At 56.8% G+C, this 14,789-nt stretch overlaps 3 protein-coding genes across 25 annotated transcripts in view, besides 5 other annotated features; 2 read left to right on the forward strand and 1 right to left on the reverse strand.

Annotated features, from left to right (window-relative positions):
* Nucleotides 1-11,048, forward strand: part of WDR62 (WD repeat domain 62) — a 56,249-nt gene extending 45,201 nt beyond the window's left edge. For 8 of the 22 annotated variants that reach the window (NM_001083961.2, NM_001411145.1, NM_001411147.1 and 5 more), the window contains 10 exons: nt 651-778; nt 1,117-1,220; nt 1,567-1,677; nt 1,917-2,054; nt 2,640-2,754; nt 2,851-2,977; nt 3,059-3,110; nt 3,246-3,884; nt 4,421-4,578; nt 4,671-5,011. In NM_001083961.2, coding sequence (NP_001077430.1) covers nt 651-778; nt 1,117-1,220; nt 1,567-1,677; nt 1,917-2,054; nt 2,640-2,754; nt 2,851-2,977; nt 3,059-3,110; nt 3,246-3,884; nt 4,421-4,578; nt 4,671-4,931 — 1,833 coding nt within the window. In that variant the 3' untranslated portion in view covers nt 4,932-5,011. Of the gene's footprint in view, nt 1-650; nt 779-1,116; nt 1,221-1,566; nt 1,678-1,916; nt 2,055-2,639; nt 2,755-2,850; nt 2,978-3,058; nt 3,111-3,245; nt 3,885-4,420; nt 4,579-4,670; nt 5,012-11,031 lie in introns of those variants that run through there. The other 14 variants (XM_005258809.3, XM_047438659.1, XM_047438663.1 and 11 more) reach the window with 5 other exon arrangements.
* Nucleotides 510-1,011: an enhancer, noted in NCBI's record as "H3K4me1 hESC enhancer chr19:36591509-36592010 (GRCh37/hg19 assembly coordinates)". NCBI's record gives its function as "activates a minimal SCP1, AML or CMV promoter by ChIP-STARR-seq in primed H9 embryonic stem cells {active_cell/tissue: H9 hESC(primed)}" and the evidence as "EXISTENCE:reporter gene assay evidence [ECO:0000049][PMID:30033119]".
* Nucleotides 10,645-11,275: an enhancer, noted in NCBI's record as "H3K4me1 hESC enhancer chr19:36601644-36602274 (GRCh37/hg19 assembly coordinates)". NCBI's record gives its function as "activates a minimal SCP1, AML or CMV promoter by ChIP-STARR-seq in primed H9 embryonic stem cells {active_cell/tissue: H9 hESC(primed)}" and the evidence as "EXISTENCE:reporter gene assay evidence [ECO:0000049][PMID:30033119]".
* Nucleotides 11,046-13,614, forward strand: OVOL3 (ovo like zinc finger 3). 2 transcript variants are annotated; one of them, NM_001302757.2, is made up of 4 exons: nt 11,046-11,199; nt 11,272-11,336; nt 12,663-12,867; nt 13,356-13,614. In NM_001302757.2, exons 1-4 carry the CDS (start codon nt 11,106-11,108, stop codon nt 13,562-13,564), a joined length of 573 nt encoding a protein of 190 aa, NP_001289686.1. In that variant the 5' UTR covers nt 11,046-11,105; the 3' UTR covers nt 13,565-13,614. The 2 variants fall into 2 exon arrangements, with proteins under 2 accessions (NP_001289686.1, XP_016882680.1); XM_017027191.2 differs by having other exon boundaries at nt 11,106-11,199; nt 12,666-12,867.
* Nucleotides 11,276-11,905: an enhancer, noted in NCBI's record as "H3K4me1 hESC enhancer chr19:36602275-36602904 (GRCh37/hg19 assembly coordinates)". NCBI's record gives its function as "activates a minimal SCP1, AML or CMV promoter by ChIP-STARR-seq in primed H9 embryonic stem cells {active_cell/tissue: H9 hESC(primed)}" and the evidence as "EXISTENCE:reporter gene assay evidence [ECO:0000049][PMID:30033119]".
* Nucleotides 13,612-14,778, reverse strand: POLR2I (RNA polymerase II subunit I). Its single transcript, NM_006233.5, has 6 exons — nt 14,701-14,778; nt 14,562-14,616; nt 14,242-14,315; nt 14,080-14,154; nt 13,918-13,969; nt 13,612-13,720 (listed from the first exon to the last, which is right to left on the reverse strand). Exons 1-6 carry the CDS (start codon nt 14,757-14,759, stop codon nt 13,658-13,660), a joined length of 378 nt encoding a protein of 125 aa, NP_006224.1. The 5' UTR covers nt 14,760-14,778; the 3' UTR covers nt 13,612-13,657.
* Nucleotides 13,762-14,273: an enhancer, noted in NCBI's record as "H3K27ac-H3K4me1 hESC enhancer chr19:36604761-36605272 (GRCh37/hg19 assembly coordinates)". NCBI's record gives its function as "activates a minimal SCP1, AML or CMV promoter by ChIP-STARR-seq in primed H9 embryonic stem cells {active_cell/tissue: H9 hESC(primed)}" and the evidence as "EXISTENCE:reporter gene assay evidence [ECO:0000049][PMID:30033119]".
* Nucleotides 14,292-14,421: an enhancer, noted in NCBI's record as "active region_14515". NCBI's record gives its function as "activates an Ori minimal core promoter by ATAC-STARR-seq in GM12878 lymphoblastoid cells {active_cell/tissue: GM12878}" and the evidence as "EXISTENCE:reporter gene assay evidence [ECO:0000049][PMID:35858748]".
* Nucleotides 14,779-14,789: the final 11 nt, after the last annotated feature.

Genomic DNA, 14,789 nt, shown 5'->3' on the forward strand with positions numbered 1-14,789 from the left:
ATATTTTTTAAATTTTTTTGTTTGTTTTGTTTTTAAATGGTAATAACAATCTCTTCTGCCCCAGAGGGCTTTTACAGGAATCCATGCTTAAGTATAGGGCCTGGGCTCTTAGAGGTGCCCGTGCAACTTTAGCTCTTTCTCTACTATTTTCCAAACAAAATTCATTTTTATCCTATCCTATAATTTGTCATCTTCATTGTGGTATAATATACATCCAGTAACATGCACAGATTTTAGGTATACAGCTTGATGAACTATCTGTGTAATTCACGTGTGTCCACTACCCTGGGCAAAATCTGGAGTGTTTTCTACCTCATAGAAACCCCCTTCTGCCCTTCCCAGTCAGGTCCCCGCACCAGGATAACCAGTGTTCTGACCTCTCACCAAGGACTGGGTTTCCTATTCTTGAACTTGATATAAATAGACACGTAGAGGGTTGGGCCTCCTATTTTTGGTGCCACACCTCTTCCTCATCTGTAAAGGGACTGATAATGCAGGGGCAGACCAGGACAAGCTGGTTGCGAGTGGAGGGCATGGCACAGGCCCTGGTTCACAGCCTCCAGCAGTGGGGCTGCTGGCATGGTTCCTGGCGCACTGTTGGTGGCCCCAGCCATGCCTGCCTCAGAATGGCTGTGCTGTCTTCCCCATAGTCAGAGAGTCCCCAGGAAGCTGGCCGCGGGCACCCCTCCTTCCTGCCCCAGCAGAAGGAATCATCTGAGGCCAGTGAGCTCATCCTCTACTCTCTGGAGGCAGAAGTGACAGTCACAGGGACAGACAGGTGGGTGTCCTTTCCACCAAGGGAGCCTTAGTTGGAGGAACCCCCAGCTGATAGCTGCATCCTGGAAGAAGTGCTCTCTGCCTTCCCAGTGGGCTTGTGGGAGTGGGGACAGTTGAGGCCTGGATGGGGCAGGAGCCCAGCCTTAGTTCCCTGGTTCCAGGTGGGGTACAGGAGGGCCTGACCTGGGGGAAGGAGGGGGCATTTGGAGGAGGCGGGGAGGCTGTCGCAGTGCTCCTGCAGGAGCAGCGGGTACAGGTGCCTAGGGGCTCCGGGTGGGGCTAGCTGTTGAGTCTCCAGCTGAAGTCCTTGTTCCCTCTCTGCCCCCACTGGCACTGCAGCCAGTATTGCAGGAAGGAGGTGGAGGCCGGGCCTGGAGACCAGCAGGGCGACTCCTACCTCAGGGTGTCCTCCGACAGCCCAAAGGACCAGAGCCCGCCTGAGGGTGAGTGCAGGGCAGGCAGGGACCCTGTGACAGTCTGTGCGTTCAGCCAAGCCCCTTTCTGGGCACCGATGGTGACTTTGACCCAGTACTGAAGCTCAGAGTCTGTCGAGGAAGACACATGTGGTCCCTGCTGCTGCCTGAGGATTCTGGGCCCAGCTGCCTACAGCTGAGAGCCCAGCTCTGCCACCTCCTTGATGTGGAACTTCCCTTATTCATAAAATGGGGGGCAGCTGCTCTTACCATCCCTCCTCCAGATGGGGAAACTGAGCCCAGGGAAGGGTAGCCCTGGCCCTGGCTCACCAGAATGGTCAGGCTGTGGGCTCCTGACCCCGACTCTGTCCTTCAGACTCGGGGGAGTCAGAGGCCGACCTGGAGTGCAGCTTCGCAGCCATCCACTCCCCAGCTCCGCCTCCTGACCCTGCCCCTCGGTTTGCCACGTCGCTGCCCCATTTCCCAGGTAAGCAGGGGCCAGACACGCAGGGGACTCGCTGCTCGGGCCTGGCTTAGGGCCAGTCACAATGTCTAAGCACAGGCCCTGCACTTGGAGCCCACTGAGCCTGGAAGACGGGGATCCCTGCTTCTCAGCCTGCGGGCAACAGGGCAGGGATGGGTGGGGCCCGCTTTCTCCATTTCAGGTGGCGTCTGCTGTGACTCATGGTGTTGGCTCCTCTTGTCCCTCCCCTCCTTCCCTGTCAGGATGCGCAGGTCCCACAGAAGATGAGCTGTCCCTGCCCGAGGGACCCAGCGTCCCCAGCAGCTCCCTACCCCAGACTCCGGAGCAGGAGAAGTTCCTCCGCCACCACTTTGAGACACTGACTGAGTCCCCCTGCAGAGGTAGGGCCCTGCCTCACCCACACCTGCCGAGGCCGTCTGTGCAGCCTGGGCACAGCATTGGCGTCCCTGGAGTTGGCTCCCCAGCAGGGCCAGGAGGGTGAGTGGAGAGCAACTGCTTCGTTTTTTTTGAGACGGAGTCTCGCTCTGTTGCCAGGCTGGAGTGCGGTGGCCCAATCTTGGCTCACTGCAACCTCCGACTCCCTGGTTCAAGCAATTCTCCTGCCTCAGCCTCCTGAGTAGCTGGGATTATAGGCATCCACAACCACGCCCTGCTAATTTTTTGTATTTTTAGTAGAGATGAGGTTTCACCATGTTGGCCAGACTGGTCTCAAACTCCTGCCTCAGATGATCTGCCCGCCTTGGCCTCCCAAAGTGCTGGGATTACAGGCGTGAGCCACCGTGCCCGGCCCACTGCTTCACTCTTGACCTGAGCCTCACGATGCCTCCTCACCCACTGCCCCTGCTCGTACCCTGTGTCTGTACATAAGGGTTTCTGGGGAGTGCCCCGCTGGGCTGTGGGCTGGCCTAGGGCCAGGGCTGCTCGGCGGGAAGGGTTATGAGGGTCCCCTCGGGATCTTCCCCTAGAGCTCTTCCCCGCAGCTCTGGGAGACGTGGAGGCCTCTGAAGCTGAAGACCACTTCTTCAACCCACGCCTGAGTATCTCCACGCAGTTCCTCTCAAGCCTCCAGAAGGCATCCAGGTAGAAGCTGGCCAAGCACTGCCCACCCTCTGGCTCCTCAACAGTGCCCCAGGGCAGGCTGAATGAGAATCATCCCCCCTGCTCTCCTCCCCACAGGTTCACCCATACCTTCCCTCCCCGGGCAACCCAGTGCCTTGTGAAGTCTCCAGAGGTCAAGCTCATGGACCGAGGCGGAAGCCAGCCCAGAGCAGGTACTGGCTACGCCTCCCCAGACAGGACCCACGTGAGTATTGGGCCCACCTCCGTCAGGGCACGGGGCTGGGAACCCTGAGGCCTTGTCCTCACCTCAGAGCTGTGCCTGCAGGTCCTCGCTGCAGGGAAGGCTGAAGAGACCCTGGAGGCCTGGCGCCCACCACGTGAGTGCCCCAGTCCCAGACGGACAGTCCTGGGTTTCTCGGCGAGTGGCCGGATGTCCAGCCTAGCTGTGGGGCGTGGGGGCCCTAGCCATCAGTTCTGTGTGGTGGAGTCAGTGCCATCTGCTTCCGTTACAGCTCCCTGCCTTACGAGCCTGGCGTCCTGTGTCCCTGCTTCCTCCGTGCTGCCCACAGACAGGAATCTCCCAACGCCCACATCTGCACCCACCCCAGGCCTGGCTCAGGGTGTCCATGCCCCCTCCACCTGTTCCTACATGGAGGCCACTGCCAGCTCCCGTGCCAGGATATCACGCAGCATCTCCCTCGGTGACAGTGAGGGCCCTATCGTGGCCACACTGGCCCAGCCCCTCCGTAGGCCATCGTCCGTTGGGGAGCTGGCCTCCTTGGGCCAGGAGCTTCAGGCCATCACCACCGCGACAACACCCAGTTTGGACAGTGAGGGCCAAGAGCCTGCCCTGCGTTCCTGGGGCAACCACGAGGCCCGGGCCAACCTGAGACTGACCCTGTCAAGTGCCTGTGATGGGCTCCTGCAGCCCCCCGTGGATACCCAGCCTGGCGTCACCGTCCCTGCAGTGAGCTTCCCAGCCCCTAGCCCTGTGGAAGAGAGCGCCCTGAGGCTCCACGGCTCTGCCTTTCGCCCAAGTCTCCCAGCTCCTGAGTCCCCTGGCCTTCCTGCCCACCCCAGTAACCCCCAGCTTCCAGAGGCCCGGCCTGGCATCCCTGGCGGCACTGCCTCCCTCCTGGAGCCCACCTCCGGTGAGTACAGCCCTGGAGCAAGGACTGTCCCCTAAGCTCATCCTGTGTGCTAGTTGGCTCAGCTCCAAAGATGGATACTTGACCTGGCCACAGGGACTGTGCCATTCATTCATTCGTGCATTAACTTAAATATTTAATGAGCATTACATGTTGGGCTTTGTGCTAAACCCTGGGACATGGGACATGGTGGTAAACAACACAGAGAACTGACAGCTTCAATGGGGACAATGCCCAGACTAAACCTTTAAGGAACCCGTCATATGTATCACGAAGTGACACATGCTTAGGAGGGACAGAGGAGGGCGAGGGAGTGCAGGGTGGGGACAGGGGTTGGGATTACAAACCAGAAGATAAGAAGAGGCTTCAGGGAGGAGGCTGCATTGGAGCAGAGACCTGTAGGAGTGAAGGGGAGGGAGCCTTGGGGACCCAGAGAAGTGTTCCAGACAGAAGTACAGCATGGAGTCCACCCAGTCGCTCTGGCCGCTCACACCAATGGAATGCAGCTCATCTTGCTCATTCCCTTCTCTCTACCCCAGGTGCACTTGGTCTGTTACAGGGCAGCCCTGCCCGCTGGAGTGAGCCCTGGGTGCCGGTTGAAGCCCTGCCCCCATCTCCCCTTGAGCTGAGCAGGGTGGGGAACATCTTGCACAGGCTGCAGACCACCTTCCAAGAAGCCCTCGACCTTTACCGTGTGGTGAGCTAAGCCCCAGAGTTGGGAAAGGGTTGAGGGGTCTCTTGAGACCGCCCGGCCTTGGTGGCCCCTGACAAGGCTGGCATCCCTTGCAGTTGGTCTCCAGTGGCCAGGTGGACACCGGGCAGCAGCAGGCACGGACTGAGCTGGTCTCCACCTTCCTGTGGATCCACAGCCAGCTGGAGGCTGAATGCCTGGTGGGGACTAGTGTGGCCCCAGCCCAGGCTCTGCCCAGCCCAGGACCCCCGTCCCCACCGACGCTGTACCCCCTGGCCAGCCCAGACCTGCAGGCCCTGCTGGAACACTACTCGGAGCTGCTGGTGCAGGCCGTGCGGAGGAAGGCACGGGGGCACTGAGGGCGCAGCCCCTCCACCGCAGCCCTGCTGCTTCTGAGGACTTAGGTATTTTAAGCGAATAAACTGACAGCTTTGAGGAATGGTTCCTGGTGTCTGTTTGGGCCTATCCACAAAGCCCTCTTCAAGTGGAAGTGGGGAGGGAGGGTAGAAGGTGATGCCCAGAGGACTCGTGTCTGTCAGTGGAGAGCATGGGACCAGCGCTCCCAAGAAGTTCAGGAACTGCAGCCATGACCTCAGGGCCAGTCCTCCCACACTGCCCACAGAGCTGCCACAGACCAGTGTGAGGTGCTTACCCAGTGGGGCCCATTTGTGCCCCAGGGAGGAGCCAGACCCTCTTACCTGCCCCCTGCCAGTGCCTGAGAACTCACTGGGGCTGCTGTGATCACCATGTGCCTACCTTGCCCAGCAGTCCACGCTTTGCCATATCATGGCTCAGGGCCTCTGGGCCAAGGCCACACTAGATCCCACAAAGTCCACGGTGGTGGTGTCCCCATCTGCAACAGGGGAAACTGAGGACCCATGAACAGGCTTGCCCAAGCTGGGTATGGTGGCCTGCACCTATAATCCCGGCTACTCAGGAGGCTGAGGTGGGAGGATCGCTTGAGGCCAGGAGTTTGAGACCAGCCTGGGCAACTTGGTGAAACCCCATCTCTTTATTTCATGTATTTATTTATTTATTTTTGTTTTTGAGATGGAATCTTGCTGTGTCATCCAGGCTAGAGTGCAGTGGTGCGATCTTGGCTCACTGCAACCTCCGCCTCCCGGGTTCAAGCGATTCTCCTGCCTCAGCCTCCCGAGTAGCTGGGATTACAGGCACCCACCACCATACTCAGCTGATTTTTGTATTTTTAGTAGAGACGGGGTTTTGCCATGTTGGCCAGGCTGGTCTCAAACTCCTGACCTTGGGAGATCCGCCCACCTCGGCCTCCCAAAGTGCTGGGATTACAGGCATGAGCCACCGCACCTGGCCAAAACCCCGTCTCTTTAAATAAAACAAAATAAAACAAGAAACCCAGGCAGGCTTGCCCACTGTATGATCCTGGCAGCAGGCCCAGGCCACGAGCAGCTGGGACCAATAACTGCTTCCCCTTCAGAAGTTCTACATTCCACGAGCTCCCAGCACTGCTACCAGCTCCCCCAGACAGCAGGCATCTGGCCACATGGGGTGTCTGCTAAAAAAGCCACTCTTGGCTGGGGTGTGGTGGTGCACACCTGTAGTCCCAGCTACTCAGGAGGTTGAGGCAGGAGAATCGCTCAAACCCAGGAGGCAGAGGTTTCAGTGAGCTGAGATCACACCATCATTGTACTTCAGCCTGGGTGACACAGCAAGTCTCAAAAAAAAAAAAAAAAAAAATCCTGCCAGTTCCCACCCAGGTGCCGGGCACTGTAGCAGAAGGAACATCAGGCAACGCACCTGCCCTCATGGCCACTCACCTTCTATACAGTCAAACAGATGCAGGAATTAGAGCTCTGTATAATTCTAGATAGGTTGGGGAGATCCATTGCTGGTGAAGGGTCAGGGAAGGCCTTTCGAGGTGACATTTGGGCTGAAGCTTGATAGAGGACATCTCAGGAACACATCCAGGCCGACAGCACAGCCAGTGCACAGGCCTGGGGCAGCCACACGTGATCTGTGTGGAAGCAAGAGGAGCGAAGCCCGGACGGCTGGAATGGAGTGAGCAAGGGGAGGGCAGGAGCTGAGGTGCAAGGAGGAGCAGGGCCTTGTTGCTTCATAACATTTAAGTCCAAGGAATATCCAGAACAGTTTTTTGTTTTTGGGTTTGTTTCTAAATCTCTGCTCTTAATGTTTGGGGGATATCCAGTGTTGCTTATTTCTCACGACTCTGCCTCAGGGAGTCCAGGTGGTCCAGAACTTGAACCACCTGCCTAGGCCTAGGCCCATCTGCCTAGTTCGGCCACCATTGCCCAAAACCTTGCCCAACATCCCTGGGCAAAGCTTGGTGTTCAGCCCCCCAGGCCTCGGACACCCAGGAGACCACCTTGGGCCTCTGTCATGCATGGAATTACCCTTCCTTCCAACCTGTATCATAGTAAAGTCTTCTGCTCCAAGGAGTAAACACCTGGCTTTCAGGGCCCAAGATGGAGGGACGTTGGTTACCCTTGATGTCATCATGCACCTGGCCTCTTCCTCTCCTGCTCTGTTATCCTCTGTGAGCAAGCTTCAGTCTCCAGCTTATGGCCTCATGGTTGCAACACGGCTGCTGTGGCACCCAGCAGCACACCCTCAGGTGGTGTCTCCATTTTGCAATTGTTGGCTTTCCTGCAGCCCTGACTGAAGTGCCTGGCATAAGCCTGGAAGCGCAGGAGCTAGAAGCTGCCCCGATAGTACTGCTATGGGGAGGCTGAGGTTAGATGTGGAGTGCAGGGGGCTCACAGAGGGTGACAGCAGGAGAGGAAGAGGCCAGGTGCACAATGACATGAGGGTCAGAGGCCCAAGTTATTGGTCCCAGCTGCTGGGTGGCCTGGTCCAACCAGGAGCAAAGGCACAGAGCAGGGCACCCTCTAGGGCAGCAGAAAAGATGCAGATCTCTCCCAGGGGTCTCCCTGGGAGACTCATCTGGGGTCAGATGAGTCCCAGGCAACAGGAATGGAGATTGCTTTGATGTGCTTGGACCATCTCTCCTGTCCTGGGCATGTTGCAGCTCAAACAAAGAGGTTCTCTCAATAAGAAAGGCAAGTGGGCTGGTAATCAGAGAGGATCCAGCATGTCTGCCACTTCCCTCTTCCAAATGCCAGGCTCTGTCCTGGAAGGACCATACTTTCTCCATACTTCTTAACCAGGATAAACCACCTGGTTAAGAAGCCACTGCTGGTGGTGCAGCATGTGTGCATGTGGTTTGTGAGCTGACAGGGTCCCAGCAGAAAGATGACAGCATGCTTAGATGGGATATTCCAAAGAGTTTAACCAAGGGATCATTTGCAAAGGAGCAGCAGGGACTGGGAAACCACCGAGGCTGGTGCAGAACCCCAGGACTGGCACCCTGGGAGCTGTTACCACCCCCAGGCCACAAGGCACAAAGAGAAGGAACAAGAACCCAAAAGAGCAAATCCCAGGGAGAGGGTAGTGCTGAGGGAGCTGCAGCCCTGACTCCCACACAGGACGGAGTGAGAATCAACACCCTGACCTTACTCCCCTCCTGCAGGGCACCCCATTGTCCAAATCCTACTGGAAGCCAGAGTGCATAGAAGCCCAGGTGACCCCGCCTCCAGTCAACCTCCTAGGCCATGGAGCAGGGCAGAACAGGACTGAGAGGGTTCCTGGGGAACTGGGTCCCTGGAAGGAAAACAGTTCATCTTTCACTGCAACTCCCCCCCTGCTTCTACCCCCACATCTACCCTTGGCCTCCCCATAGCAGTACCATCAGGACAGCTCCTGGGTCCTGAGCTGCCAGGCCCGTGCCAGGCATCCCAGTCAGGGCTGCAGGAAAGCCAACAATTGCAAAATGGAGACACCACCTGAAACCCCATTTTGCAGATGACCCACCTGAGGCCTGGATGTTTGCCCAGAGGAGGGATTCCTCGGCAGGATGCAGTGGCTCATTCCTGTAATCCCAACACTTTGGGAGGCCAAGGCAGGCAGACGGTTTGAGCTCAGGAGTTCAAAACCAGCCCTAGGCAACATAGCAAGACTCCACCTCTACAAAAAATTTTAAAATTAGCTAGGTGTGGTGGTGCACGCCTGTAGTCCCAGCTACTTGGGAGGTTGATGTGGGAGGATCACTTGAGCCCAGGAGCTTGAGGCTACAGTGAGCTGTGTTCACTCCACTGCACTCCAGCCTAGGTGACAAAGCAAGGCCCTGTCTCAAAAAAAAAAAAAAAAAAAAACCTTCCTAACCAATCCCTGCTTATATGTCTGCCACATGCCAGGCCCCATGCTAAGCATTCTCTCCATGTGAGCTACATGGATCTTCAATACAAACTGGGAAGAGGGAGATTCCTTAGTCTCATTTTCCAGGTGAAGAAACCGAGGCCCAATGAGAAATGACTTGCTCTGGGTCCTGCAGAGAGCAAGCGGAAATGCATGGCCAGCAGACCCTCAGCACTGCCACCCTTGCTTCCCCAAATGAATTGGCACAACTGACTCTCGGGCAATGTAAAGAAATGAAGAAATACTCCTCTCACCAGCAAGCCTTGTACAGATGTCCCCCTCTGACTAGAACACCCTCCCCTTTCATCTGAAACCTTTCAGCGCTTATCCAGGAAGCCATCCCTGTACCCGTAGCCTGGATCAGGAGCCTGTTCGGGTCCCCAGGTACCCCTCTTTTCCCCATCATGGCTGGGTCTCTGCCTCACTTGCCTCTCACTGTCTTGGTCATTCTGGGCTGTCACTGGTGTGCCTCCTTCATGGACTTACGCGATCATTTTCAGTAAGCTAGGTCTGGAGCTTAGAAAATTGTTTAGTTGCCAGGCGCAATGGCTCACGCCTGTAATCCCAGCACTTTGGGAGGTTGAGGCAGGTGGATCACTCGAGGTCAGGAGTTTGAGACCAGCCTGCCCAACATGGTGAAACCCTATCTCTACTAAAAATACAAAAATTAGCCGGGTGTGGTGGTGCGCACCTGTAGTCCCAGCTACTTGGGGGACTGAGGCAGCAGAATCGCTTGAACCCAGGAGACGGAGGCTGCAGTGTGTGGAGATCGTACCACTGCACTCCAGCCTGGGCAACAGAGTGAGAATCTGTCTCAAAAAACAAAACAAAACAAAACAAAAAAAATAAAAACAGGTTGGGCGCGGTGGCTCACGCCTGTAATCCCAGCACTTTGGGAGGCTGAGCCGGGCGGATCACCTGCATTTAGGAGTTTGAGACCAGCCTGGCCAACATGGTGAAACCCCATCTCTACAAAAAACACAAAAAATCAGCTGGGTGCAGTGGTGTGCCCCTGTAATCCCAGCTACTTGGAAGGCTGAGGCAGGAGACTCACTTGAACCCAGGAGGCGGAGGTCATAGAGGAGCCAAGATCACGCCATTGCACTCCAGCCTGGGCAACGAGCAAAACTCCGCCTCAAAAAAAAAAAATTAAAAAACAGAGCTTGGATTGCTTCTTAGTCTTCTGGCTAAGAATCAAGTGTAAAACAGCTTGGCCAGTGTGCCGGGGTAGGGTCCTGGGAGCCCCTGGCTGTGTCAAGAGACCCCCTTTGGGCCAGGTGCGGTGGCTCATGCCTGTAATCCCAGCACTTTGGGAGGCCAAGGCAGGCGGATCACTTGACGTCAGGAGTTCAAGACTAGCCTGGCCAACATGGTGAAACTCTGTCTCTACCAAAAATACAAAAATTAGCCCGGTGTGGTGGTGCATGCCTGTAGTCCCAGCTACTCAGGAGGCTGAGGCAGGAGAATCGTTTGAACCCGGGAGGTGGAGGTTCCAGTGAGCCAAGATGGTGCCACTGCACTCCAGCCTGGGCAACAAGAGTGAAACTCCGTCTCAAAAAAAGAAAAAAAAATAGGAGACCCCCTTTTACTTTCCAGACTGTGGGAGGGAGGAAGAGTGTTGTCCCAGGCAGTAACTAGGGGCTAGATTATTAACAAACTAGTATTTTAGTGCCTGCTACACCTGAACAGTGCTTCTGGCTGAATGTTAGCCCTGGGAATCTGAAGATCAGAGAGGTGGGGCATCCTACCTGAGGATGCACAGCCTGGATCCTCATTTTGCCCTGATTTATCCAGATCTGCTGTCCTCCCTGCACCCTACAGAGCAGGGCAATCACAGCAGGGGGCCCCTTCAGTGTCCTCAGACAGCTGCTGTGATTTGAATAACCAGGCAGGCTGCTGGATGTCCCCTGGTGACTGATTTGCCTGGCAAACAGACCCTCAACCCCTGGGAGACAGTCCCCCTGGGGCCTTGTTTCTTCTTCCTATCCTCAAAAGCTCCCCAGGCCCATCTCCCCTTGCCTGGCTCTGCTTGGTGGTCCTAGTGCTTGTCCACCCCTGGAGGCTGGATGGTTCCCTCCAAAACCTGGGAGAAGATGGGCAGGTCCCCAGGCAGGGGTAACCTGAGCCAGCTTAGTCCACTCCCAGGGCCAGCCAGGAAATTTGCATGAAGAGAATGAGGTTCCTCAGAGGCTTCCCCTCCTTTCCCACCAGGGATAGTCATCCTGGGGCTGAGGTCTGACAGCAGGTGGAAGCAGCCCCTGTGTGTGGAGAGCCTTCCGGAGGGCATGCCCCGCGCCTTCCTGGTCAGGAGTCGGCGTCCACAGCCCCCCAACTGGGGCCATCTGCCTGACCAGCTCCGGGGAGATGCCTATATCCCAGGTGGGCCCCTCACTGTGCCTGGAGGTAAGGGGCAGGAGAGACGCAGTGTCACCATCTGGCTTTTCTCCTCAGACTGCAGCAGCCTGGGGGGGCCACCGGCACAACAGTCGTCCAGTGTCAGGGATCCGTGGACAGCGGTGAGTGTGTAACTGGCTAGCAAAGCCAGCTGTTTCGCTCCTGCCTGCTCTCAGCCTTAATGAAGCTGACAGCCCCTTGCTCCCCCGACCCATCTGCACACGCCCTCCAGCCTCGGGACCTGTCCGCCCCTACTTCTCTGTGTTGGGAATGCCTCTCCTTTCCTAGTAGTGAGCTCTCTACTGTTAGGTCTCACCCCAGGCACCAGGGCCGGCAGCCACAGGGATCTCTTCCAGCGGGGCACAAGATTCATCCCCACATGTGGATGATCCGCTTTATGTCAGAACATGGGACAAGGCAACAGGAGTGCGATGGGAGATAAGGGCTTTTTCAGCTGTGCATGCATTGGAGGAAGGAAAGCGCCAGCCGGAATGTAATATATTCATGAAAGCAAGGCACTGTTCTAGGCATGGGCTGTTATATTCAGCGGGAATAAGACAAAAATCCACAATTTTATGGAGCTTATATTCTGGTTGGGGCTGCATGTATAGACAATAAAATTAGTCAGCCTGTAATTCCAGCACTTTGGGAGGCCGAGGCGGGTGAATCACTTGAGGTCATGAGTTCGAGACCAGGCTGGCCAACATGTTGAAACCTTGTCTCTACTAAAATTACAAACATTAGCCAGACATGGTGGCACGTGCCTGTAATCCCAGCTCCTCAGGAGGCTGAGGCAGGAGAATCAGTTGAACCTAGGAGGCAGGGCAGAGGATGCAGTGAGCCGAGTCTGCGCCACTGCACTCCAGCCTGGGAAACAGATCTAGACTCCATCCCCCCTCAAAAAAAACAATAAAATTAGAAAAATAGACCGGGCATAGTGGCTCATGCCTGTAATCCCAGCACTTTGTGAGGCCAAGGTGGGTGGATTGCTTGAGGTCAGGAATTCAAGACCAGCCTGGCCAACATGGTGAAACCCCATCTCTACAAAAAATAAAAAAATTAACTGGGCATGTGGCGCATGCCTACAATCGTGTAATCGTGGGGAGGCTGAGGCACTAGAATCGCTTGAACCCGGGAGGCGGAGGTTGCAGTGACCTGACATCATACCACTTCACTCCTGCCTGGGCGACAGAGCAAGACTCTGTCTTTAAAAAAAAAAAATGTGTATGTCACATCAGAAGATGGGACTTGGCATAGAGAAAGTAAGGACCATGGGATAGTGAGGGAAGGCCCTGGAGAGTGACAGGCACACACACTAATCACTGTCTCCCACCTGCCTTCCTAATCCTCCGTGGTGGCTCAGGACACTCTGTAAATACTCATTTGCAGAGTAACAAAGGGTGGATGGGGTCCAGCCAGAGAGGCTAATAACTCCTGCATCCCTCCAGCAGCCCACACAGGGCAACCTGACCTCTGCTCCCAGGGGCCCTGGGACGCTGGGCTGCCCGCTCTGCCCTAAGGCCTTCCCTCTGCAGCGCATGCTGACAAGGCACCTCAAGTGCCACAGCCCCGTGCGCCGCCACCTGTGCCGCTGTTGTGGCAAGGGCTTTCATGACGCCTTCGATCTCAAGCGCCACATGAGGACTCACACTGGTGAGCAGTGGCAGGGACAGGGAAAAGTTGCTGGGCCCCAGGTGGGGATGGAAGGAAATGGAGAGAGGTGCTGGGCTGTGGAGTGTCCATGGTTTGTGTATGTGGGGTATGGAGAATCAAGACATGATGTCTCTCGGACCCCAGTGGGTGGGTGTAAGGTGGCACCAAAATAGGGGCCTGTCACGGAATGCAGAGTGCAGACGGATGCCGGTTATACGATTCAGGCTCCAGATCGAAAGGCAAGGGAAGGCCTCCCTCTCCATCCCCCAGGGGAGGGAGCATCCTGGTGAGGGAGAGTGGAGACACAGGTGTCTGGCCCATGTCTGCACTGGGTGACGGTAGCAGATGGTGGGTCATGGGCGGAAGAGTCTGAAGAGCTTGGAATAGGTACCAGAAATGCTCAACACTGGAAAGCAGGGTGGGGGCGCTTTAGTCCAGAGCCCATTGCCCTCTCTGTCCAGCCCTCCCCTCTGCGCCCATCTGTGCAGGGATCCGGCCCTTCCGCTGCAGTGCTTGCGGGAAAGCGTTTACGCAGCGCTGCTCCCTGGAAGCTCACCTTGCTAAGGTGCATGGACAGCCGGCCAGCTACGCTTACCGTGAGCGCCGCGAGAAGCTGCACGTGTGCGAGGACTGCGGCTTCACCAGCTCCCGGCCCGACACCTACGCACAGCACCGCGCCCTGCACCGCGCAGCCTGATACGGTGTGCCAGCGTCCTCCCCACGAGGCAAATAAACACAGAAAACTCACGCATGGAATCTGGTGTTTATTACACTCGGGGGAGAGAGGAGGTCACTCGGTCCAGCGGTGGCCGCAGTGTGGGGCTGTGCACACGTAGTAAAGGCGCATGGCGTCCTGGCAGAAATGATGCATGGTTAGGAAGGATTTGGACCCAGCAGCGCCTTACCCCAAAAGAACAGGCAAGAGAACTTCACCAATAGGTAAGGGCCCGGCAGAGTTCCAAGAAGCGCAGGGTCACCCACATTGATATCCCCGCCCCCAGAAAGGACCAAACAAGCCCCAGATACTTAGAAAGCCCTCGCGCCACTTACCTCGGCCCGCGCACTGTGTGACTGGAAGAACACAGCCTCCTTGTGGCCGCACCTGAGAGGGTAGGGGCTCGGTCACCGGAGGCTTCACACCCTTCCCTCCTCCCTTCGCCCAGTGAGGAGACGAGCCTCACTTTACCTCCCCAGTACCAGCTGAACGCTCACTTTTGGCACGGGTGGTCCTCGGTCCGCGGCAACGTGGGGTCCTGGGACACGTCGGCGATAATCTGGGTCAGTTCGCTGCAGGGACGCGGGGGTGCAAAATTACGCTCAGACCCAGCCTCCAGAGCCAACACCCCCGCCCCCAGCTCAGGGCCCGCCACTCACTCCACTTCGTGCGTGATCTTGTTGACATAGATGCAGCTGTTGTCGGCCTCCTGCTGGTAATCACAGTTCCGGCACTACGAGAGGGCGAGTGTGGGGGAAAGGGGGTCACGGAAGGATTCCAGACAAGATTGGGAGGAGAGGGCAGGGTGATCCCGGAGGATATGACGACAGGACTCTCTTTGGGGATGGGCAGGACATGAGAGTCAGGATCACTTGAGGTGCAGCGGAGGGCGAACAGGGAGTCCGATCACAGAGGCAGGGGGCAGGGCGGGGCCACGCTGGGAACAGGTGGACCTGCCGGGGAAGACCCCGGCGCTCACCGCGTAGAGCAGAATGCGGTTCTCCTTGTCTTCCTTGGGGTACAGCATGTTGTTACTGTGGGGAGGGGGAGGTGCCAGGGGTTAGTTCTGGAGCCATTCCTCGCCCGCCTTCTAACATCACCCGCTCCCTCCGCCTCACCATTCCTGGCAGAAGCGAATACCCACGAAGCCCGGCTCGTAAGTCCCGTCGGGCTCCATGGCGACGCGCAGCCCGCGCAGCCCTCCCAG

The sequence above is a fragment of the Homo sapiens genome, chromosome 19, assembly GCF_000001405.40.
Source record: "Homo sapiens chromosome 19, GRCh38.p14 Primary Assembly".
Lineage (NCBI taxonomy): Eukaryota > Metazoa > Chordata > Mammalia > Primates > Hominidae > Homo > Homo sapiens.